We start from the raw sequence: 25,199 nt of genomic DNA, 5'->3' as shown, positions 1-25,199 counted from the left end.
TCCTCCTTCTCAGGATGGTGCTTAAAAGAGCAAACAGTGACTGTTGTCGGGGTGCTTCCCCTTTTTTATAAAGCACATTCCCAGCACTGCCTTATAAAACCTTTAGGAGAAGTGGACATGCGGGAATCTCCATTCTCCACATTCTACTGAGAGCCAGCCTGAGGCCCAGCTATGGGCAAGTGGTTCAGAAGCTTCAGGAAGGCCTATGGACTTAAGAGCTGACTCTGGGCTCAAAGGAACCACCGTGGCGCCCTTGGGAGGCCTAAGGTCTGCTGAGCTTCCCCGCGTCCCTTTGCTAGAGGCAGTGCGGCCTAGTGGTGAAGAGCCCCTAGAGCCAGCTGGCCTAAGAGTGCACTCCACCTCCGCTCCAACCCACAGTGCTACCCCAGAAAAGCTACCTAAAACCCTGCCTCAACTTCCTGCTCCATAAAATGGGCTCATAATTGCGCTCACTTCATAAAGTTGTTGTGAGGATTAAATAATTTAATATGTGTAAGACGCTTAGAACAGTGTGTGGCACATTGCGGATGCTCAGTGGAGTGTAAACAATGGAGACAGAGAGGGAAAGAGGCCTTTAATATGCTTGCACCCAAGGCCTGGGAGGGCTTGGTGCTACTTGATTTGGGGTGAAACACCCCTCTGCGTCCTAGGCGTCCAGCACCTTTCTTTTTTTTTCTTTTTTTGAGGCAGAGTTTCACTCGTTGCCCAGGATTGAGTGCGATGGCACGATCTCGGCTCACTGCAACCTCCACCTCCCGGGTTCAAGCGATTCTCCTGCCTCAGCCTCCCAAGTAGCTGGGATTACAGGCATGCGCTACTATGCCTGGCTAATTTTGTATTTTTAGTAGAGACAGGGTTTCTCCATGTTGGTCAGGCTGGTCTCGAACTCCTGACCTCAGATAATCCACCTGCCTCGGCCTCCCAAAGTGCTGAGATTACAGGCATGAGCCACCGCGCCCGGCCTGGGTCCAGCACCTTTCTTAGAAATCCCTTTTGATCTGAATTCACCAGTGTCAAAAAATAACTCCTCAGCTGGGTGAGCTGGCTCATGTCTGTAATCCTAGCACTTTGGGAGGCCAAGACGGGAGGATTGCTTGAGGCCAGGAGTTTGAGAACAGCCTGGATGACATAGTAAGACCCTGTCTTTACAAAGAGAAAAAGATAGCGGGCATGGTGGTACGAGCTTGTGGTCCCAGCTACTTAGGAAGCTGAGGTAGGAGGATCACTTGAGCCCAGGAGTTCAGGTTACAGTGAAACGTGATTGTGCCACTGCACTCCAGGTTGGGTGACAGAGTGAGATCCTGTGTAATAAATAAATAAGTAAGTAAGTAAAATAACTCCTCTAGAGGCTGGGCGTGGTGGCTTATGCCTGTAATCCCAGCACTTTGGGAGGCTGAGGCAGGTGGATCACGAGGTCGGGAGATCAAGACCATCCTGGCTAACACGGTGAAACCCGTTTCTACTAAAAGTACAAAAAATTACTAAAAATACAAAAAACACACCTGTAGTCCCAGCTACTCGGGAGGCTGAGGCAGGAGAATCGCTTGAACCCAGGAGGCAGGAGTTGCAATGAGCTGAGATTGCGCCATTGCACTCCAGCCTGGGCGACAGAGCAAGACTCCGTCTCAAAAAAAAAAAAAAAGTAAAATAAAATAAAATAACTCCTCTAGGCAGAGGCTGGATGGGAGGCAGGGTGGAGTCATATTTGTTTTCCTGTTTCCAAATCCCTGGGGACCAGCTCACCTGTGTCCCAGAGCCTTCAGGGTATACCAGGGCATTCTGGGATCTCATTTAATCCTGGCAACTCCCCTGCTGGGGAGGGGTGAATAAACTCATCCTCTATCCTGGGACACCGAAATGGTTAGGAAGATCCCACAGCTGTGAGGGGTGAAGAAAGGTGGGAGGGCTGTTTCCTGAGCACCCCTCTGAAGGTGTGCTGGGTTTGCTTGTACATTCCCAACTAACGTTGTTTTGTGCTGTGTCAGCCCCTGTTCTAAATGCTGGGGACTCAGCAGTGACCAGAATGATCCACCCCTGCTCTTACAAATCTTATAAATCAGTGGAGAGATAGACCATTATCAGGAAAATAAAATTAAAACCATGATCATTTAAAATAGATTGCATCATGCATTTTCTTGAATAAAATAGGAAAGACTTGTTCTCCGTCATGACTGAGGGTGGCCATTTTCAGCAGGGCTTATCAGAAAGGTGATGTTTAAACTAAAAGCTGAGGGAAGAGAAGGGGTGAAGAGTGCAAAGATGTGAAAGGGAGACAGAGAAAAACAGTAAGTCACCTCCATTCTGCAGACAAGAAGAGTTAAGGTAAGGGACCTACCCAAGACCACCCAGCTGGTCGTATAAGACTGATTTCAGGCTGGGCGCGGTGGCTCACGCCTGTAATCCCAACACTTTGGGAGGCTGAGGCAGGCGGATCACCTGAAGTCAGGAGATGGAGACCAGCCTGGCTAAGGTGGTGAAACCCGGTTTCTGCTAAGAATACAAAAATTTAGCCGGGCGTGATGGCATGTACCTGTAATCCCAGCTACTCGGGAGGCTGAGACAGGAGAATCGCTTGAACCCAGGAGGCGGAGGTTGCAGTGAGCCAATTGCGCCACTGCATTCCAGCTTGGGCAACAAGAGTGAAACTGCATCTCAAAAAAAAAAAAAAAACAAAAAGACTGATTTCAGATTTGAACTTGGGGCAGCTGACTCCAGTGCCCATGCCATCCTGGGATATTTCACGAGCTTTGTATCCCTGCAGCCTCCACATGGACCTATGGGTATCGTGACAGGAACGGCACCCTGGGTATGGCCCCCAAATTTTGGTGACTTGTCACAGCTGGGTTTGTCAAATCCCAATTCTCTAGACCATTCTGTGTTCCAATAGAAATATAATGTGAGGCTGGGCGCAGTGGCTCATGCCTGTAATCCCAGCACTTTGGGAGGCGGAGGTGGGTGGATCATGAGGTCAGAAGATCAAGATCGTCCTGGCTAACACAGTGAAACCCTGTCTCTACTAAAAATACAAAAATTTGCCGGGCATGGTGGCACACACCTGTAATCCCAGCTACTCGGGATGTTGAGGCAGGAGAATCACTTGACCCCGGGAGGCGGAGGTTGCAGTGAGCCGAGATCATGACACTGCACTCTGACCTGGGCGACAGAGTGAGACTCCATCTCAAAAAAAAAAAAAAAAATTAAAATATTCAATAAAATAAAAAATTCTCAGTCACACTAGCCACATTAGCCATACTTGAAGTGCTCAATAACCACATGTGGCAAATGGCTACTGCTATGGTTTAAATGTGTCCCCCAAATGTCATGTGCTGGAAACTTAATCCCCCAATGTGGCAGTACTGAGCGGTTGGGACTTTTAAGAAGTGATTGGATCATGAAGCCTCTGCCCTTATGAATGGACTAACCCACTCATGGATTAATGGATTTGTGGGTTTTCACAGGAGGAGAACTGGTGGCTTTATAAGAAGAGGAAGAGAGACCAAAGCATAGCATGTCAGCATGCCCAGTCCCCTCTCCACGCTATACCCTGTGCCACCTCCAGACACTTCAGAGACCAGGAATAAGGCCCTCACCAGAAGTGCCCCCTCAATCTTGGACTTCCTATCCTCCATAGCTGTAAGGAATAAATTCCTTTTCTTTCAAAATTGTTCAGTTTCAGACATTCTGTTATAAGCAACAGAAAACAGACTAAAACCACTACCATATTGAGCACTACCACCCTGTACCAAGAATTCCTAACACATGGTCCAGGGGTACAGCAGAGGCAAAGAGTCTAGGTAGGCTGGAGTTTGGCTCCTAGATCTACACCAGAAACACCAAATAGCCTCAAGCCTCAGTTTCTGCATCTATAAAATGCAGTTAATTATACCTCCCTTGCATTGCAGTCATAAGGATTCAATGCATTGGGACTGCCTCATGTCATAGTTGTATCACATTTCTTGGGTTCAAAACCACATCTATTTTGGAAAAGTTACTTCAGCTCTTTGTACTTCAGTTTCCCCATCTGTAAAATGGGGATAACAATAGTTCCTACCTCGTTGGTTTGCATGAGAATTAAATGACAATATTTGTAAAGTGACTGGAATATAAATGCTATATAAGCATTTATTTAGAAGCGAGGAAAAGAATGGTGACCAACCTCCCAAAATTAAATGCAGAAATGTACTCTTTTCTGGAGAGAGAGTCAGGCTTTTATGAATTTCTTTCTCCAGGCTCAGAACATCTTTCTACTCAGATTTCTGAGCCCAGAAGGCTGCTTTTCTCTTTCCTATAGGTTTGGTTTTTTGTTTGTTTGTTTGTTTTTTTGAGGCAGTGTCTCGCTCTGCTGCCCAGGCTGGAGGGAAGTGGCATGTGATCTTGGCTCACTGCAACCTCTGCCTCCCGGGTTCAAGCAATTCTCCTGCCTCAGCTCCCTGAGTAGCTGGCATTACAGGTGTGGACTACCACACCTGGCTAATGTTTTTGTATTTTTAGTAGAGACGGGGTTTCACCAAGTTGGCCACGCTGGTCTCGAACTCCTGACCTTAAATGATCCGCCCACCTTGGCCTCCTAAACTGCTGGGATTATAGGCGTGAGCCACTGTGCCCGGCCTCTTTGCTATAGTTCTGATGAGTTCCGTCTCTGACCCCCAGCACTGATGTGGGGCCCACAGCAATGACATGAGCCATGCCTGCCTCCTTTCCTTCCACATGGGTGTCCCTAGTGATTGCCATATGCCTAAAATTCCACCATAGGTGTCCTTGAAACTTTTCATCTTCATACATTTCCCCCACAAAAGTGACATGATGCCTTAGAACTTCTGGTTGCGTTCCAAGTCTGGCTGAAGCCACTGAGCCTGTGAGATTGTGGACAAGTCACCTCCCTTTGCGGGGGCTTCAAATTTCTTATCTGTAAAATAAGAAGAGAAAGTTGGAGTAGGTCAGTGAGGTCAGTGTTTTCTGAAATATACCATGTACAACAATGGCTGAGTGCCAGAGGGTTTTAGGGTCTCCAGATACCGTATGACATAACTTTGAATCATAATTGTGATACACTTAAACCCTTTCAGTTTTCTTGCTGTTTCTCCAAAGACTCAGGGAGAAAGTCTCATTTAACAGCTTCTTTTTTTTTTTTTCTTTTTCTTTGAGACGGAGTCTCGCTCTGTCACCCAGGCTAGAGTGCACTGGCGTGATCTCAGCTCACTGCAAGCTCCGCCTCCCGGGTTCACGCCATCCTCCTGCCTCAGCCTCCCCAGTAGCTGGGAATATGGGCGTGTGCCACCACACCCAGCTAATTTTTGTATTTTTGCTAGAGACAGGGTTTCACCATGTTGGCCAGGATGGTCTTGATCTCCTGACCACGTGATCCACCCACCTTGGCCTCCCAGAGTGCTGGGATTACAGGTGTGAGCCACCGCGCCCGGCCAACAGCTTGTATGGTTTTTTTTTTTGTTGTTGTTGTTTTGTTTGTTTTTGAGACGGAGTCTTGCTCTTGCTCTGTCACCCAGGCTGAAATGCAGTGGTATGATCTCAGCTCACTGCAATCTCTGCCTCCCGGGTTCAAGCGATTCTCCTGCCTCAGCCTCCCAAGCAGCTGGGACTACAGGCGCCCGCCACCACGCCCGGCTGATTGTTGTTGTTGTTGTTATTGTTTTTAGTAGAGACGGGGTTTCACCGTGCTAGCCAGGATGGTCTCGATCTCCTGACCTCGTGATCCACTCGCTCGGCCTCCCAAAGTGCTGGGATTACAGGCATGAGCCACCGTGCCCGGCCTCACAGCTTCTATGTTTTTAACACCTCTCTTGTTAAGAATGAGACAGCAGAGTTCAGCTTGGAGCCTTCAGCAAGAAACAGGATTTAGCTGGAATGGAATAACCTGGTTCTGCTTTTTTTGTATGTAATTGTATGCTTACCTCTTCTTTATGGCAAATCATAGTAGTTTTCTATTTGAGGTCAGTGATTTAAAATTTCCATGTTAAATAAATTTAGATAAGTTTTTTAAAATGAGGTGGTTGTGGTCAAGCACAGTGGTCCATGCTTGTAATCCCAGCACTTTGGGAGGCAGAGGTGAGTGGATCACCTGAGGTCAGGAGTTTGAGACCAGCCTGGCCAACATGGCAAAAACCTATCTCCGCTAAAAATACAAAAATTAGCTGGACGTGGTGGCATGCACCTGTAGTCCCAGCTACTTGGGAGGCTGAGGCATGAGAGTCGCTTGAACCCAGGAGGCAGAGATTGCCGTGAGCCGAGATCATACCACTGCACTTCAGCCTGGGTGACAGAGCAAGACTCTGTATAAAAAAATAAATAAAATAAATAAATAAATAAATAAGTAAAAGATGAGCTGGTTGGAAGGAAGACATTATGGAACTAATATAAAAAATAAGTACATGGATTCAGACCAATCAACTTGGGGAAGACAGTGGGTGATTCAAGAATGGCAACTCCAGGGCTGTGATCCTCTCTGGGAGCCCTTATCTAGGAGACCGGGCACCTCCCTTCTCTGGAGGCCCCTGGGGGCTTTGCAGAAATCTCTCACCATCCAGATCACGCTAGGCTGGGCCTAAGGAGAGGCAGGAAGGCCAGCCCGGCGGTTGCCCCAGGGGCGGCCTGGGATTCTTCCTGAGAAAGGCTCTTCTCATGCCTGTGGGTGGAGCCCTGTGTGGGGACCTCCCTTACGTCATCTTGTGTCATCCTCAAACTTCCCCATGAAGCTGCTATTTTTATCCCTGGAGACAGATGAGGAAACCAGGGCTCAGAGCAGTGACATCACTAGTTTAAGGAGGGAGGAGACAGTGGGATTCAGAGCCAGCTGGCCTGGCTCAAAATCCGTGTGGTCTCTTGTCCACTGTCTTGGACAAAGTCACTTAGCTACTCAGACCCACAGCCCTATCTATAAAGTGGGATTGATGACAGTGTTTTCCTGTAGGGTTATTGAACTGCTTATTGTCATTGGGATTTCCCTCCCTCCCTTCCTTCCTTCCTTCCCTCTTTTCTTTTCTTTTCTTTTGAGAGAAGATCTCACTCTGTTGCCCAGGCTGCAGTGCAGTAGGGTGATCATGACTCACTGTAGCCTCAACCTCCCAGGCTCAAGCGATACTCCCGCCTCAGCTTCCTGAGTAGCTGGGACTATGGGCATGCACCACCATGCCTGGCCTGGGAACTGTTATTGGATTAAATGGAGGGTTAAATGGGCTAATACAGGTTAAGTTCACGCTTAGGAGAGTTCCCAGCACATGGTAAGCACTGGAGGGTGAGTGGCTATTATTATTTCCAAGGCCCCAGGGCTGCTGCACCTCCTTCCCCAGCAAACACACCCAGTGAGAGCTGAGGATAAAGGGGGAGGTGGGGACACACTTCCTGAGAGTGGCCCATGTGGAGCCTAAGCTGTGCCTTCCAGTGCTTCCTCATGTCAGCCTCACCACAGCCCTGTGAGCTAAGGATGCATTTACGCCCACTTTGCAAGTGAGCAAATCCAGTGTCAAAGAGTGAAAGTAACCTGCCCAGCGTTACACAGCTAGCCAGTGTGGCTTTTTGAGACGGAGTCTCACTCTCACCTAGGAGTGCGGTGGCATGATCTCAGCCCACTGCAACCTCCGCCTCCCGGGTTCAAGCGATTCTCACGCTTCTGCCTCCTGAGTAGCTGGGATTACAGGCGTGTGCCACCACGCCTGGCTAGTTTTTGTATTTTTAGTAGAGATGGGGTTTTACCATGTTGGCCAGGCTGGTCTCAAACTCCTGACCACAAGTGATCTGCCTGCCTCAGCCTCCCAAAGTGTTGGGATTACAGTCATGAGCCACCGTGCCTGGCCTGGGATTTAAACCCAGGTCTGCGTGGTTCCAAAGTCCACGTCATTCCACCATTTCAGGAGCCTCAACAGGATTGACGGGAGGTTCCTGGGGAAGTCCCGTGTCCTCCTCAAGGGTGAAGGGTTCTCTCTTTCTGTGTAGTGGAAATAGCTAGATCATAGCCATGGGCTGAAGACAGCTGGTCTGGTTCTGACCTTGCCTCTGACCTTGGGCAGCTACAGGTCTCTCCCTGGGCTTAGGCACATAATTGCTGCTTTGTATGTATAAGGGGTTAGGATCTCCAAACTTCCAGGGATCCTGATTCTCTTTCTCGCCTCTCAGCTGGAGGATGAGGGAGCCCCAGATCTGCCAGCTCCCAGTGCTGGACGCATTGCTGAGTCACCTGACCTTCCTTCCTTCCTGCCTGCCTTCCTGCCTTCCTTTTGCCTGCAGGTCCTGAAGCCATCAAAGGCCAGAGAAGGAAGGGGATTATATGTTCAGTCTGGATAACTGCCCAGGCCTTGCCTTTCTGAGAAAAGCTTGGGGGGTGGGGGTGGAATGCTGAAGCACTCAGCCAGTTGCATCAGAAAACCTTGCGCAAGGCGCCCTCCTGGGTCCAGCACTGAGCCCTGTCCCATAGTCCCCACCCCTACCCTGTCCCCTGAGGTGCCAGAATGAGGACTGTTCAGCCTTGCGAGGGACACTGAGCAAGGCCAGGCTGTCAGGGAGTGATGGAGGAAGTTGAGGGATGAAGGAAGGCTTTGGGGCCAGTGCTGAGAGGGCTTAGGCCGCCTGGGTGAAGGAACTTGAGCTGGAAGTTGCTCCTCAGGACATTTAGATCCAACTCATCCACCTGGCTTCTCTCCCAAAGAAGAGGAGACAAGGCCAGTGCCCTGGACACTAACTGACCCAGATCCTTGACTGTGGTCCTAGGGTGAACCCTATTGCCTGACTTTGCACTTCAACTGCACTCTGGCCTGAAACCTTGAACATGGTCTGACCTGTGATCACTAAGCCCTGGGCCGTAGCCACAGCTAACGCCGACCCAGGTCCCAAACTGAACGGTGTCTTGGTCACTTTTTCCCCACATGATCCATAAACTGAATTTGAATTCTAGCTCCTGATTGAGTTATAACCCTGGAGATAGATTTAGCTCTAATCCATCATGTGTGACCCCAGGCCCCAGATAAACCCCAACTGTAGCCCCAGATACCCTAGCCATAGATTCTCTCTCTGGTCTCAACAGGGCAGTGCTCAGGCACAGGAATCAAGAGCTTGGCACCTGCTCCCCTCCCCTCTGGGCTGCTCCCCATACCCCCCCAGGTCGAGGAAGGCTGAGGGGCTGGACTGAACATGGGACAGCCCCCTGACCAGCCTGACTGTGACTCAGCAGGGTGGGAGCTGGAGGTAGAGTCAGGCAGGACCACTGGGGATAGGCCAGGCAGGTGCTGAGTCAGGGCAGGGAGAGAGGGACAGTCTCTGAGTGCAGAGCTGGTCTGGGATGTGGGATGGTACATGTGGTCCGACAGGCCCTTTAAGGTAAAGCAGCTCCAGTCCTGAAGCCAGGCCCTTTAAGGCAAATAACCCCGATCCTATCCATCTCCATCTACCCATTTATTGTCCATTTTTCCATCACTTATCCATATTATTCTCTCCCAGAGCATCCTGTTCTTTTCCACCAGAACACTTAACTATAATTGGAATTATGTATGTATTTGTTATTTGTTTAGTGTCTGCCTCACCCACTGAACTACAGGCTCCCTTAGGACAGGCACCTTGCCTGTGTGGCTCACCAGTGTCTCTAGCACCTCATACAGTGCCTGGCACACGGCAAGTGGTCAGTAAATAGTAGTTGAAGAGATTAAATCCCTCCACCCATCTATTCATTCCTTTTCCATCTATGAATTATTATTTTATAATGCATCCCCACCATCTAGCCATTCGAATTTCTCGCTGTTCTTTCATCTACCCTCCATCCGACAAGCATCCATCCATCCACCTACATAGCTTTCCCATATCAATCCATGCTATTTATAGAATCATCCGTTTCTTCAACAAATATTTACTGAGTACCTACTACTTGCCAGGCAACATTCCAAAGGCTAGGGATACTACAGTGAAAATAACAGACAAAAGTGGCGCTTACATTCCATTAGAAGGAAAAGTGCAGCCAGGCACAGCGGCTCACACCCGCAATCCCAGTACTTCGGGAGGCTGAGGCGGGAGGATCACTTGAGCCTAGGAGTTTTAGACTAGCTTAGGCAACATGGTGAAACCTCATCTCTACAAAAAAGTACAACAACTAGCCAGGCATGGTGGTGAGTGCCTGTAGTCCCAGCTACTCAGGAGGCAGAGGAGGGAGGATGGCCTGAGCCAGGTAGGCCAAGATTTCAGTGAGCTGAGATCATGCTGCTGCACTCCAGACTGGGCAACAGAGTGAGACCCTGTCTCAAAAAAAAAAAGAAAGAAACATGCAAGAAATAATTACCATAATAAGTACATTGTAGCACATGTTAGGGGGTGACGAATGCAAGGGAAAAAAAGAGTAAGTACAGAGATGAGGAGTGTTGGGTGGGCAGGCAGTGGCTGTATTGAGTGGAGTGTTCAGTGGATGCCCTGAGACTATCCGAAGGGCAAATTCTTCAGGAAGAGGAACAGCTCATGCAAAAGCTCCAAAAGGAAGCTGACTAGCTGACTGGTGTGCCATCGGAGAAGGTCAATGTGGCTGGAGTGCAGCCAGTGACAGGGAGGCGGTGGGAGATGAGGTCAGAGAGGTAAAGGGGGTTCAGATAATCTGGAGCTTTGGAGGCCTTTGAAAGGACGCTGAGGAGTCATGGGGAGGCAGGGGAGGGTTTAAGGAGAGGAGGGAAGTGATCTCACTTACCTTTTTTTTTTTTTTTTTTTTTTTGAGATGGAGTCTCGCTCCTGTCATGCAGGCTGGAGTGCAGTGGCGCGATCTTGGCTCACTGCAACCTCCACCTCCTGGGTTCCAGTGATTCTTCTTCCTTAGCCTCCTGAGTAGCTGGGACTACAGGCGTGCATCACCTTGCCCGGCTAATTTTTGTATTTTTAGTAGAGATGGGGTTTCATCATGTTGGCCAGGCTGGTCTCGAACTCCTGACCTCAGGTGATTCACCCGCCTCAGCCTCCCAAAGTGCTAAGATTACAGGGTGAGCCACCATGCCCAGCCATTTTTTTTCTTTTTTTTAAGTACAGACAGGGTTTTGCCACATTGCCCAGGTGGGTCTCAAACTCCTACACCCAAGTGATCCTCCTTCCTCGGCCTCCTCAAGCGCTAGGATTACAGGCATGAGCTACCATGCCCAGCCTTGACTTACTTTTAAAATAAAATCATTTAGGGATCTGTACTTGGAATAGACTGAATGAGGCAAGGACAGGAAGACAAGGGAGCAGGTGTTGCAATAATTCTCTTAAACTCCAGTGGCTCAGAGCAGGGCAGTGGCCATGCTAGAGGTGAGCTGTGACTGGATTCTGGGTATATTTTAAAGGTGGAGCCAACAGGATTGCTGATGGTCTAGATGTGGAGTTTGAGGGAAAAGGAGGTGTCAAGGTGCTTCCAAGGTTTCTTGGCCTGAACGGTGACAGGTATGGAACTGCCATCAAATGACATGGAGCGAGGTGTTTGGGGGAAGCCCAGGTTCAGCTTTGGTTCTGTGGAGTCTGTCATGTCTTTTGACATCCTCAAAGAGACATCAGGTAGGTATTTGAATGTATGGGCTGGAGTTCAGGGGAGAGGTCTGGGCTGAGGATACAGTGTTGGGAGTCATAGACGTGAGACTGGATGAGAGCTCCAGGGACCAAGTCCTCACTGCTCCAACAGGAATGGGAGAAGCAGGGAGCCTGAGAAGGAGGAAAACCAGCAGAGAGTGGAGGCCTGGCCACCAAGTGAAAAGAAGTACATCAAAGAGCAGGGAGTGGTCAGCTGTGTCAAACTGTTGATCAGTTAAGAAGATGAAGAATGGGCCGGGTGCGGTGGCTCACACCTGTAATCCCAGCACTTTTGGAGGCCAAGGTGGGCGGATCACGAGGTCAAGAGATTGAGACCATCCTGGCCAACATGGTGAAATGCCGTCTCAACTAAAAATACAAAAATTAGCTGGGTTTGGTGGCTTGTGCCTGTAGTCCCAACTACTCGGGAGGCTGAGGCAGGAGAATCGCTTGAACCCAGGAGGCAGAGGTTGCAGTGGGCCAAGATCGTGCCACTGTATTCCAGCCTGGGTGACAGAGCAAGACTCTGTCTCAAAAAAAAAAAAAAAAAAAGATGAAGAATGAGAACTGAACACATTGGATTTAGCAATGTGTTGAAATTGACAAGAGCAGTTTCAACTAGGGAAGTGACAGGTAGAAGCATGATTAAATGGACTTAAGAGACAAGAGGGCCAGGTGTGGTGGCTCACACCTGCAGTCCCAGCACTTTGGGAGGCTGAGGTGGATGGATCACTTGAGCCTGGGAGTTCAAAACCAGCCTGGGCAACATGGCAAAACCCAGTCTCTACAAAAAATACAAAAATTAGCCAGGCATGGTAGTGCACACCTGTAGTCCCAGCTACTCAGGAGGCTGAGGTGGGAAGATCGTTTGAGCCCAGGAGGTTGAGGCTGCAGTGAGCCATGATCACGCCACTGCACTCCAGCTTGGGTGAGAGAGCAGATCCTGTCTCAGAGGGAGAGAGAGAGAGAAGACTAATTAAAAACAGCGAGGATAGACAATTTTCTCAAAGCCCTTTTCTGCAAAGGGGAGAAAAAATAGGGTGGTAGCTGTGGGGAGGGCTTAGGATTGAGTGAAGGCGGTTGTCTTAAAGACCCACCCATGAATCTATTCGATCCCATGGGCCGTGTACCTGACCCTCCTTACCGCGCATCTGACCCACCGTCTGTTCCTCATCCGTAAGCTGAGTCTGTTCAGAACTCCTATAGGGTACCAACTCCCATGCCAGACCCTGGGGTGGGCATGGAGGGCAAGAAATGGATGAACCCAAACTCTGGCCTGGAGTAGGTAACTCAGTTTAAGTGAACTGAATGAATCACAGAGCAAGAAGACACTGTGCCTGCCCTCCTGCCCCTCCAGCAGGAGAGACAGAATGTCAGTGCTGGGGAGAACTGTCTAGTACAAGTCAGGGGTGGGAGTGTCTTGCCTGAGGTCACACTTAGGGTCAGTGATGGAACCAGGACTCACACATAGGCCTGCTCTCTTGGGAGACAGATTGTCTCTTCCAGGGAGAGTTCCATGGGGACAGAACTTAGCTGAGGGCAAGGAGTGTGTAGGAGGATGGCACTTTTGAGCAGACAGTTGTGGTTTTGTTTGTTTGTTTGTTTTGTTTTTTTGTTTGTTTTTGGAGACGGAGTTTTGCTTCTGTTGCCCAGGCTGGAGTGCAATGGTGCGATCTTGGCTCACTGCAACCTCCGTCTTCCGGGTTCAAGCGATTCTTCTGCCTCAGCCTGCTGAGTAGCTGGGATTACAAGCATGCGCCACCTCTCCCGGCTAATTATTTTGTATTTTTAGTAGAGCCGGGGTTTCTCCATGTTGGTCAGGCTGGTCTCTAACTCTCGACCTCAGGTGATCCACCAGCCTTGGCCTCCCAAAGTGCTGGGATTATAGGCGTGGGCCACCGCACCCGGGGAGCAGATTTTTAGATATTTTATTTTATTCAATATTAATTATTAATTGTATTATATTAATTATATTAATATTTTATTTAAATATTTTAGCTCAAAATTCAAAGGCACAGAAGAGTAATACTTGAGAAGTCTCCCTCCCACTCCTATCCCCAGCTCCTAGTTCATCTTCCTGGGGTCAAGCCATTTTCTCGTGTTTCCTTCAAGACATAAAATATGAGGATTTATTGTCACTTTTTTACACAGATGGGAGCACACTCCATGTCCTTCAGATTGCCTTTTTCCTTCCTATTTAACAATTTATCTTGGGGACTCTTCCGTGTCAGTCCAGAAAGACCTGCCTGGTCAGTTTTTACAGCTTGGTCCTATTCCATGGTTAGGAATGTACTGGTTTATTTAAACCATCCCTTGTCAATGAACAGTTAATTATTTCCAGTCTTTTGCTATAACAAAAAATGCTGCAGTGTTCATACATGGGGGTGTGGAGAGAAGTTCTGAGCTAATTTCCTAGAAGTAGAATTTTTCTTTCTTTCTTTCTTTCTTTTTTGAGACAGAGTTTCGCTCTTGTTGCCCAGGCTGGAGTGCAATGGTGCGATCTCAGCTCACTGCAACCTTGGCCTGGGAGGCAGGGATCACAGGCGTGAGCCACCGCGCCCTGCCCAGAAGCAGAATTTCTAAGTCAAAAGTTTGTGCATTTGCACTTTTAAGAGAGATCTCTGGCTCCTCCTCTATAGAGATTGTTATCAATCTACCTCCTGCCAGCAAAGCATGTGAGTACCTGCTTCCCAGAACTACAACACCAGGTGTTCTCAAAATTTTTGATTTTTACCGAACTGATTTAGAAAAATGTAATCCCAGCCTCCTTTGGGAGGCTGAGGTGGGTGGATCACCTGAGGTTAGGAGTTCGAGACCAGCTTGCCCAACATGGCGAAACCCCATCTCTACTAAAAATACAAAAAAATTAGCTGGGTGTGATGGCGAGCACCTGTAATCCCAGCTACTCGGGAGACTGAGGCAGGAGAATTGCTTGAACCTGGGAGGCGGAGGTTGCAGTGAGCTGAGATCGCTCCACTGCACTCCAGCCTGGGCGACAAGAACTAAACTCCATCTCAAAAAAAAAAAAAAAAAAAAAAGAAAGTATCTTCCTGCAGATTTCATAGGTATTTCTCTTATTCTTTCCACATTTTACAGCCACAAAGGCAGATGTGGAAGGGGAGCTCTCTCACAGTTGGCACCACCCAGGCTGCCCTGGTGGGCAATGAGTGTCCCATCTCTGAGGTGAACCAGGGGAGGTGAGAGGAAGCAAGGCATGTCGGCTGAGTAGGGGCTGTGGTGAGTGTGGAGGCCCTGTGCTTCTGAGAACCGTCTCCACTCCCTCTGCTTCTCTGTTCTCGGTGCTCCCTCACTTCCCCAGAGGGGATGTGCCCATGGGCTCTCACATCTCTATCATCTCCCCCCATCTCCGCACCCCCACAGGCCACCCGAGTTCCCCGTCACCTCCTTATTAAGCCATTTTTCTCTTCCTGCCATTTAATCTTTCTTTGGCCCAGAACTTCTGGAAGGCTGGGCAAAGGTGACATCTGGCCCTTCTACTTGGCCCCACAAGACACTAGAGAAAAATGTTAGTGTCTTAGACTATCATGGCTGGTCCGGCCCTTAGTTGTGTGTCAGCATGCAGAGTGTGTGTGTGCATGCATGTGCATGTGTGCCAGCGTGCACACATTGTTGTGTATGGCAGGGATGCATGTCTCTGAGGCAGCCTGGAGTGAAGGACAAAATGCCTGGGTTCTGAAACCAGAACAGACCTGCAAGGCTTGCTGAGTCATCCAGGACAGACCTGCCAGGTTTGCTGAATCATCCTCCAGCTATGGTCCCTTTCTCCTAGTCCTCGAACCTACCAAGTTCTTCCTGCCCCAGGGCCTTTGCCCTTGCTATGCCATCTGCCTGGAACTTTTCCTGTATCTTTCCAGGCTCTTCCTTCTTCTTCAGGTCTCAGATCAAATATTTGCTCCTCAGAGAGGCCCTCCCTGATCACTCATCAAGCATCATGCCCCACCTAATCCCTGCAGTTTGTCTCTAATCCATAACTCTTCCTTATTTTATTTGTAGCACTTGTCAAGGTTTGAAATTATCCCATTTATGTATTAAATTATCTTTTTTTTTTTTTTGAGGCTGAATCTCGCTCTGTCGCCCAGGCTGGAGTGCAGTGGCTCGATCTCTGCTCACTACAACCTCCACCTTCTAGGTTCAAGTCATTCTTGTGCCTCAGCCTCCCGAGTAGCTGGGATTACAGATGCCTACCTCCACACTTGGCTAATTTTTGTATTTTTTCAGTAGAGACAGGGGTTTCACCATGTTGACCAGGCTGGTCTCAAACTCCTGACCTCAAGTGATCTGCCTGCCTCGGCTTACCAAAGTGCTGGGATTACAGGCGTGAGCCACTGTGCCCCGCCAAACTGTCTTTTGTCTGTCTCTTCTTCCCCATCAGAATGTAAGAACCTTGAGGGCAGAGATGCTGCATCTGCAGGTCTAGCACAGAGCCCAGCACCTACCAGGTGTTCAGTGAATGTTTGTCAAATGAATGAAGGAATGTAAAGTGTTCAGCACAATGCCTGACACAATAAAAAATCAAAATTGCTGGCTCTTGTTGTTATATAAATGTTAGTGACTATTATTGCTATTTATGAGGACTACATGTCACTCAGCAATTCTTAGAGCAGGTAGTTATTTGAGTCCTGTGTAATGGAGTATCATAGGAGAAACGGGGATATAAGACTCAGTGGGTACTGTTGAGGAATAGACAATATAGCTGGGAAGGCAGGAACTCAGGAAAAATAATCATGATGTGTTGAGCTGATCATGCATTGAGTTATTCTAACAAGACTGGAAGTGAGTATAATTACCCTACTTTTAGATTAGAAACTGAGGCTCAGAGAGGGTGATACGCCTAAGGTCACCCAGTGTGTCTCGAAAGCACTTAGCTCAGTGTCTGTGGAAACTCAGTGGCCAATGTGTCATCTGCACGTCTGTCTGGACCGCCCTGGGGCATCTCCAGCCCTTGCGTGTACCTGGGCACACTCCATGCACATGGACACAGGGCGGTGGGCTTTGGGTGCCTGTGCTTCTCACAACTCTGAGGCTCCTGGTGGAGAGGTCCATGCTGAGGAGCACTAGGGGTCTGAGAGGTCTTTACCCCTGGGGTACAGGGTCTGGGCTGAGGATGCCTTTGTCCTGTGACTGGAAGAAGCAGCTTTTGCGTGGGCGTCAGGCATAACATGGGGCAGGCCCAGCTGGCACACAACAGGGGCAGGGGAGGCCTGGGAGGGTGAAGAATCAGGATGCACTGTGCTCTTGAGGACACCACACCTGCATTGGCCAACACCTGGCTGTGTCGGCGCACACATGTGTACACACGGACACACACAGGCACACAAGTATACACACACATCTCTCACAGTCTCTTGCTCCCCTAGGCATGCTGACAACCCCTGCTCACACTGGCTGAGTCACTCTGCATGTCAAGGGCCCTCCCAGTTCCCCAGCCTGACTGGTGTCATTCAAGCTTTTAGCGTTGCAATGACCGGGCTGTGTCCATCCTGCTCACCAGACATCCACAGAGACCCGTCCAGGGCCAGCACAGAGTGAGCACTCAGATTTGTGTAAAAAATAAATTCACAGCTCAGCACGGTGGCTCACACCTGTAATCTCAGCACTGCAGAGGCTGAGGCAGGCAGATCGCTTGAGCCCAGGAGTTTGAGACCAGCCTGGCCGACATAGCGAAACCCCATCTCTACAGAAAATACAAAAATTAGCGGGATGTGGCGGCATGCGCCTGTAGTCCCAGCTATGCTGGGGGCTGAGGTGGGAGAATCCCTTGAGCCTGAGAGGTAGAGGTTGCAGTGAGCTGAGACTGCACTCCAGCCTGGGCAACAGAGCAAGACCCTGTCTCAAAATAAATAAATAAATAAATAAATAAATTCACTCCCTCCCCCATTCCATTCTTCACTTATTTACTTACCCCTTCCTTCCTTCACTCACTCGCTCATTCATTCATTCATTGAGTCAATGGCTCACTTACTCCCTCATTCCTGGCCTCCAGGATGGAAGCAAAGCTGCAGCCCTGCCTCCCCACAAACTCCTCCCCTCACACAGCCTATATCTGCTGAGTGCCCATCAGATGCCAAGTCCTGACAGCTCTTCCCCTGCCACACCTGGTCCATGGACCCTGCCCAGGTGCACACCCTGGTGGACATCCTGTTTATCTCCCTTCTCCCTGCCCTGACCACGTGTCCCGGGCCGGATGCTTATGAAATCCTGTCAGTTCTTCCATCACAGGGGCCCTGCTGGCCTGATGCCCAGAGCTTGGTTTTGAGCCATGTGCTCTGGGACATGGCAAGGCTGGGATTGGAAGCTCACAGCCCTGGTGACACCAAGCCAAGCTGAGACTCAGAGCAAGGCCAGGGTTGCCGGTCCCATCCATGCACATCCATGGAGCACACCTGTGAATGGACTCAACATGAGAATGTGGGCCAGACAAGGCCATGCCATGTCCAAGGTCACAGGGAATGTCAATGAGGGAATCCAGCCATAGCACATCTCTTCACTCATGGATGCATCTGCACAGTGGTGGAGGGAGACACCGTTGCCTAATATTATAGGGCCAGGGTTTGAATCTCAGCCATTTGACTTTGGGCAAGCCACTTCACTTCTCTGAGCTTTATCTTTTTTACTTTTTTTTTTTTTTTTCTTTGAGACAGAGTTTCATTCTGTCACCCAGGCTGGAGTGCAATGGCGTGATCTTGGCTCACTGCAACCTCCACCTCCTGGGTTCAAGCGATTCTCCTGCCTCAGCCTCCTGAGTAGCTGGGATTACAGGTGCATGCCACCACACTCAGCTAATTTTTGTATTATTTTTAGTAGAGACAAGGTTTTACCATGTTGGCCAGGCTGGTCTCCTGAGCTCAGGTGATCCACCTGCCTTGGCCTCCCAAAGCGCTGAGATTACAGGCGTGAGCCACAGCTCCCGGCTGCTTTATCTTTCCTTACATACAGTAGGTGCTCAGTAAATGTAGCTGCTAAAAAATTCAGTAGCAGAGTGAGTGCAAATGCAGCGTGTCAGTGTCTGCAGACCTCCTCGTCATCATTTACATGCCCGCTGATGTGCATCCAGGCATGTAATGTGCTATTCAAGAACTTGGGTGGGTCCCTCCATTTACATTTCACTGCATGTGTCTGTGAGGTCTTCAGAGCTGATTTTTTTTTTTCTCAAAATGCACATCATTCCTGGTGTGGTGTTGTGGAGGATTTTCTGAGCGCTCGTCATAGACAGGAATTGGTGTGTATCTGAATAGACATGGGTGTGCTTGCCTGTGTCTGTGTGGACCTGTGTGAGGGGTTATGAGTATGACCTCCAACCTTATCAGGTTAGTTCATTGGTAGAATCTGTGTGGTCATTTCTGCATCCGGGGCATTCTGGACCTGGATTACTTGGGTTCAAATTTCAGCTCCACTAGCTATGCCATCTCGGACAGGACGCTTAAACACTCCATACTGTTTGCTTTTCTGTGAATTGGAGATAATGGTAACCACCTTATGGTGGTATGAGGACTGCAAGACCTAATGTATGTGATGGACTGAGTACAGAGCCTGGCATGGACAAGCGCTTGTCTCTCACTGCCCCCGTGACTGCCCCGTGATAGGATATTACTTTGTTATTCTATTACAGTACTTACCCAGGTATATTGCCATTTGCTGTCCACAGGACTGTCCTTTCCACTAGACTGTGAGTCCCTATAGGACAGGACCCTGTCTGAGCCATCCATCATTATAGATTATGTGTTGCCTGCTAGTTCTGAACCTCAGACTTCTCTCTTTCATAATAACAGCTGGCATTTAGGGAGCATGTCTACGTGCCAGGTGCTGTGTTAAGTGCATTAAGCTTCATACAATCTCAAGGGATTGGTATCCTTGTTGCTCCTATTTTGGAGATGAAAAAAACTCCTGACACTCAGAACGGTTAAGAAACTCAGGTTCACACAGTGGCTTGAACACTGGCAGACAGATTCACTCTCAGCCTGCACTAGATATAAGTTGTGGGAGGAGATTGTGGGGGCAGGAATGTTGCTGAACAGAAGGAATGCCTGCCTTTCGGACTGCTCCAGCAGGCTCTCTCTCACTCCACCCCCATTAATCCCTCCCCCATCTATATGAATATCACTGTTTTTGGCCGGGTGCGGTGGCACATGCCTGTAATCCCAGCACTTTGGGAGGCCAAGGTGGGAGGATCACCTGAGGTCAGGAGTTTGAGACTAGCCTGACCAACATGGAGAAGCCCTGTGTCTACTAAAAGTACAAAATTAGCCGGGGGGCGTGGTGACACATGCCTGTAATCCCAGCTACTCGGGAGGCTGAGGCAGGAGAATCGCTCGAACCTGGGAGGCGGAGATTGCGGTGAGCCAAGATCGCGCATTGCACTCCAGCCTGGGCAATAAGAGCGAAACTCTGTCTTAGAAAAAAAAAAATCACTGTTCTGTCTCTTACCCTGGGGCATCTCAGCCCCCTGCCCTAGCACAGTGCTCCCAGGGACCAGGCAGTGGCCCCAGATCAATCCTTCTTTGGTCCAGTTGTGGGTGAGTTAGAAGGGCTTCTCTGAGCTAACCTAGTCCCCTGGGCCAGTAGGGATGGGGAGGGCATGCCAGACTCAGCACGAGGGCGGGAGCCTCCAGGGTGGTGTGGGGGTTGGGTGCTCAGACTCTTGGATAGAAGAGGGGTGGAGCAGAAGGTAGACCCCACTGGTCAGCCTCCTCTCCTTCCCAGATCTTCCCACCTCAGAGAGGAGAGGGAATGGTCCTTTCTTAGGTCCTTTTTGGGGTGTGTTAAACCAGATCCCTGTTATTCCATCTTGACCACAGTAATTTTTTTTTTTTTTTTTTTGAGACGGAGTCTCGCTCTGTGGCCCAGGCGGGAGTGCAGTGGCGCAATCTCGGCTCACTGCAAGCTCCGCCTCCCGGGTTCACGCCATTCTCCTGCCTCAGCTACTCGAGCAGCTGGAATTACAGACACATGCCACCACGCCCAGCTAATTTTTGCATTTTTAGTAGAGACAGGGTTTCACCATGTTGGCCAGGCTGATCTCAAACTCCTGACCTCAAGTAATCTGCCCTTCTTGGCCTCCCAAAGTGCTGGGATTACAAGCGTGAGCCACTGTGCCCGGCCAGCAATCGTATTTTTTGCTATTTTGAAATAATTGTAGATTTATTGAAGAGTTACATGGACAGTACAGGGAGATCCTGTGTATCCTTCAGCCACGTCTCCTTAGTCTCCTCCAACCTGAGACCGTTTCTTGTCCTTTCCTTGTCTTTCGTGACCTGGACACATTTGAAGAGTGCTGGTCAGATCTTTTGTAGAATGGGTCTTCTCATGATTAGGCTGACGTTACGGATTTGGGGGAAGAATGCCACTCAGGCCAAGTGCCCTTCTCACCACATCATTTCAGAGGCTGTGATATCAACAAGACTTTTGACTGGTGGTGCCAGCCTTCATTTGGTTAAGGTGGTGTCTGCCAGATTTTTCCACTGTGAAGTCACTGTTTTTGCCTTTCCACATTCTACTTGTTAGAAGCAAGTTGCTGAGTCCAGCCCACACTCAAGAGGAGAAAAATTAAGCTCCATTTCCTAGATGGCAGAGCATCAAAGAACATGTATGCATATGTTAAAACCACCATACTAATTAATACATATTTGGGGATAGATACTTTGAGGCTATGCAAATATTTTGTTTCAAGCCTGGTGGGGTGGTATGTGCCTGTAGTAGCAGCTACTGGGGAGCATGAGGTGGGAGGATCCCATTGAGCCTAGGAGTTCCAGACCAGCCTGGACAATGTAGTAAGATCCCGTTTCTAAAAAAAAAACCTTGTTTCTCCTTAAAGTTTCACCCACTCATTTTATTGTTCATTGGTAGATGTTGCCTGCAGCAATTATTATTCCGGTGTTCTAATGATGATTTTTCAATTTCTCTCAATCCTTCTACATTTACTAATTGGAATTCTTCTGTAAGAAGACTTGTCCTGGCTGGGCACGGTGGCTCACACCTCTAATCCCAGCACTTTGGGAGGCCGAGGCCAGGAGTTGGGAGTTCAAGACCAGCCTGACCAACATGGAGAAACCCCGTCTCTACCTAAAATACAAAATTAGCCAGGTGTGGTGGCGCATGACTATAATCCCAGCCACTCGGGAGGCTGAAGCAGAATTGCTTGAACCCAGGAGGCGGAGGTTGCCGTGAGCCGAGATCACACCATTGCACTCCAGCCTGGGCAACAAGAGTGAAATTCCATCTCAAAAAAAAAAAAAAAAAGAAAAGAAAAGAAAAGAAAAGAAAAAAGACTTGTCCTTCCCCCCAATTTTTTTTTTAAGAGAGACAGGGTTTTGCTTTGTTACTCAGTATTCAGGCTAAAGTGCAGTGGTGTGATCCTCCTGCCTCAGCCTCCCAAATATTAATAGCTGAGACTACAGGCGTGTGCCACCATGCCCAGCTAATTTTTAATTTTTTGTAGAGATGGGGCCTTGCTATGTTGCCCTATGTTGCCCAGGTTGGTCTTGAACTCCTGGCCTCAAGTGATCCTCCTGCGTTGGCCTCCCAAAGTACTGGGATGACAGGCGTGAGCCACTGCACTCAGCCTTACCGTATTTTATTAATAGTCCCCTACCATGAGCATTTAGGTTGTTTCCAAATGCTTTAATTACAAATAATACTATAGTGTTCCAACATGTAGAGTTGAATCTATAGATCCACCTGCATAAGAGGGAGAAATCAAAGGGCATGTGTATTTTCTATTTTGATATTGTCAAACTGCCTGCACCATTTATACTCTGTGTTAGCTTCCTTTTATTTTTTTGAGATGGAGTTTCGCTCTGTCGCCCAAGCTGGAATGCAATGGCGCGATCTTGGCTCACTGCAACCTCCACCTCCCGAGTTCAAGTGATTGTCATGCCTCAGCCTCTCAAGTAGCTGGGATTACAGACACGTGCCACCATGCCTGGGTAATTTTTGTATTTTCAGTAGAGATAGGGTTTCACCATGTTGCCCAGGCTGGTCTCCAACTCCTGACCTCAGGTGATCTGCCCACGTTGGCCTCCCAAAGTGCTGGGATTACAGGTGTGAGCCACTCCACCTGGCCGGCATGGTTGCATTTTTTTGTTTTTTGTTTTTCCTGTTTTTGAGATGGGGTTTCGCTCTTGTTGCCCAGGCTGGAGTGCAATGGTGCGATCTCAGCTCACCACAATCTCCGCCTCCCAGGTTCAAGTGATTCTCCTGCCTCAGCCTCCCGAGTAGCTGGGATTACAGGCATGTGCCACCATGCCTGGGTGATTTTGTATTTTTAGTAGAGACGGGGTTTCTCCATGTTGGTCAGGCTGGTCTCGAACTCCCAACCTTAGGAGATCCACCTGCTTCGGCCTCCCAAAGTGCTGGGATTACTGGCTTGAGCCACTGCGCCTGGCCTGGTTGCAATTCTAATAGGCTGCTCAGGGAAGGCCTTGCTGAGAAGGTGATGTTTGAGCAACGACTTGAAGGAACTGCCCATGTCGTCAACTGGGGAGGAGTACCCCAGCAGAGGGAACAGTGAGGCAAAGGCCCTGAGTCAGGATCCTGGCTGGAGAGGACACAGGAACCTGGAGAGTGGTGGGAGTTGGGGTTACAGAGGAAAGTGCGGGGGGAGTGGAAATCAGCAAATTGTGTAGGGCCTTGGAGGCCACAGGGAGGGTTTTGGCTACTCTGAGTTAGGTGGGAGCCATGGGAAGGTTTGGAGCGGAGGAGGAACATGACCTAGTTTATGTTCTAACAAGATCTGTCTGGCTACTGTGTAGTAATTAGACTTGGGGAGTCAAGGCGTGGAGTAGGGTGGGGTTCAAAACTCAGAAGCCAGGAGACCGGGGGAAGCTGGTGCAATGATCCAGATCGAGGCGCTGGTCGCTGGTGGTTCAGACCATGGAATCAGCCACGGGGATGTCGAGGTGTAGTTGGGTACAGGATATATTTCCAAGGTTGAGTTGACAGGACTTGCTGATGGATTGGATACAGGGTGTGAGGAAAGAGAGGAGGTTTTGGCTGGAGCAGCCAGAAGAATGGGGACGCTACTCTCTAAGACGTGGGCAGCATAGTAGAGGCAGGTTTGGTCAGGGAGGGGTGGTAACAAGGAGAACAGTTTGAGATAGTTGAGTTTAAATTCAACATCCAGGTGAATGCAGATGGGAACGCAAGCCTGGAGTTTAGGAAAAACTAGGTTTGAGAATAATAGCCGCCACCTCAGAGGTTGTCGTCCTGGTTAAATGAATTCCCGAATTCTGTAAGGCACTAAGAACAAGGCCCAGCCCCTGGTGAGTGCCAAAAGGGGTTAATTACTCTTCCAGGCCTGGAAAAGATCTTACCTTTGGCTTCAGCCCCCTCTCCCACACCCTGGCCCTCACATTCCTTTCAGAACTAGAGGAAGTGTGTTCTCAAGGTGGCTGAGAAATCTCCTTCCCACCCAAAGACAGGAGCTCCACACTCAGGCAATAGGCCAATCAGGCTAAGCACTTTTTTTTTTTTTTTTTGAGACAGAGGCTTGCTCTGTTGCCCAGGCTGGAGTGCAATGGTGTGAACTTGGTTCACTGCAACCTCCACCACCCGGGTTCAAGCAATTCTCCTGCCTCAGTCTCCCGAGTAGCTGGGATTACAGGCATGCACCACCATGCTCAGCTAATTTTTGTATTTTTAGTAGTTATGGGGTTTTACCATGTTGGCCAGGCTGGTCTTGAACTCCTGACCTCAGGTGATCCACCCACCTCGGCCTCCCAAAGTCCTGGGATTACAGGCGTGAGCCACCTCGCCTGGCCCAGCCACCCCTCCAGGCCCTAGGCTGAGCATTTAAATCCACTGCAGGACTTGGGTGGAGCTGGAGGCCATTATCCTAAGTGAAGTAACTCAGGAACGGAAATCCAGATACGGTAGGTTCTCACTTATATAAGCGGAAGCTAAGCTATGAGGATGCATAGGCATACAGAGTGATATAACGAACTTTGGGGACTGAGTCCAGGGAGGTTGGGAGGGGATGAGGGATAAAAAACTGCGTATTGGGTACAGTATACACTGCTCAGGTGATAGGTGTACTAAAATCTCAGAATCACTATAGAACTAATTCATGTAACCAAAACCCACTTTGACCCCAAAGGCTACTGAAATAAAAAGAATTAAAAATAGGCCGGGCGCGGTGGCTCACGCCTGTAATCCCAGCACTTTGGGAGGCCGAGGCGGGCGGATCACGAGGTCAGGAGATTTGAGACCATGCTGGCTAACATGGTGAAACTCTGTCTCTACTAAAAATACAAAAAATTAGCTGGGTGTGTTGGCAGGCACCTGTAGTCCCAGCTACTCATAGTCCCAGCTACTTGGGAGGCTGAGGCAGGAGACTGGCATGAACCCGGGAGGCGGAGCTTGCAGTGAGCTGAGCTCGTGCCACTGCACTCCAGCCTGGGTGACAGAGCCAGACTCCGTCTCGAAAAAAATAAAAAAGAATTAAAAATAAAAATAAAAAATAAATCACTCACCTCTCTGATCATCAGTTACCGCATCTGTAAAATGAAGACAATAAGTCTGGGTAAGGTGGCTCACCCGGTAATCCCAGCACTTTGGGAGGCCGAGGCAGGCGGATCATTTGAGGTCAGGAGTTCAAGACCAGCCTGGCCAACATGGTAAAACCCCGTCTCCACTATAAATACAAAAATTAGCCAGGCGTGGTGGCGTGC

The 25,199-nt window shown here is 49.2% G+C and overlaps 3 annotated features.

Annotated features, from left to right (window-relative positions):
- Positions 14,769 to 15,368: an enhancer, noted in NCBI's record as "H3K27ac-H3K4me1 hESC enhancer chr20:345627-346226 (GRCh37/hg19 assembly coordinates)". NCBI's record gives its function as "activates a minimal SCP1, AML or CMV promoter by ChIP-STARR-seq in primed H9 embryonic stem cells {active_cell/tissue: H9 hESC(primed)}" and the evidence as "EXISTENCE:reporter gene assay evidence [ECO:0000049][PMID:30033119]".
- Positions 16,832 to 17,126: an enhancer, noted in NCBI's record as "tiled region #10396; K562 Activating DNase unmatched - State 5:Enh". NCBI's record gives its function as "activates a minimal TATA promoter and a strong SV40 promoter by Sharpr-MPRA in K562 cells {active_cell/tissue: K562}" and the evidence as "EXISTENCE:reporter gene assay evidence [ECO:0000049][PMID:27701403]".
- Positions 23,812 to 24,106: a silencer, noted in NCBI's record as "tiled region #12668; K562 Repressive DNase matched - State 6:EnhF". NCBI's record gives its function as "represses a minimal TATA promoter and a strong SV40 promoter by Sharpr-MPRA in K562 cells {active_cell/tissue: K562}" and the evidence as "EXISTENCE:reporter gene assay evidence [ECO:0000049][PMID:27701403]".

This window comes from Homo sapiens, chromosome 20 (assembly GCF_000001405.40).
Source record: "Homo sapiens chromosome 20, GRCh38.p14 Primary Assembly".
Taxonomy (NCBI): Eukaryota; Metazoa; Chordata; class Mammalia; order Primates; family Hominidae; genus Homo; species Homo sapiens.
This window is presented reverse-complemented; position numbering and strand designations above follow the sequence as displayed.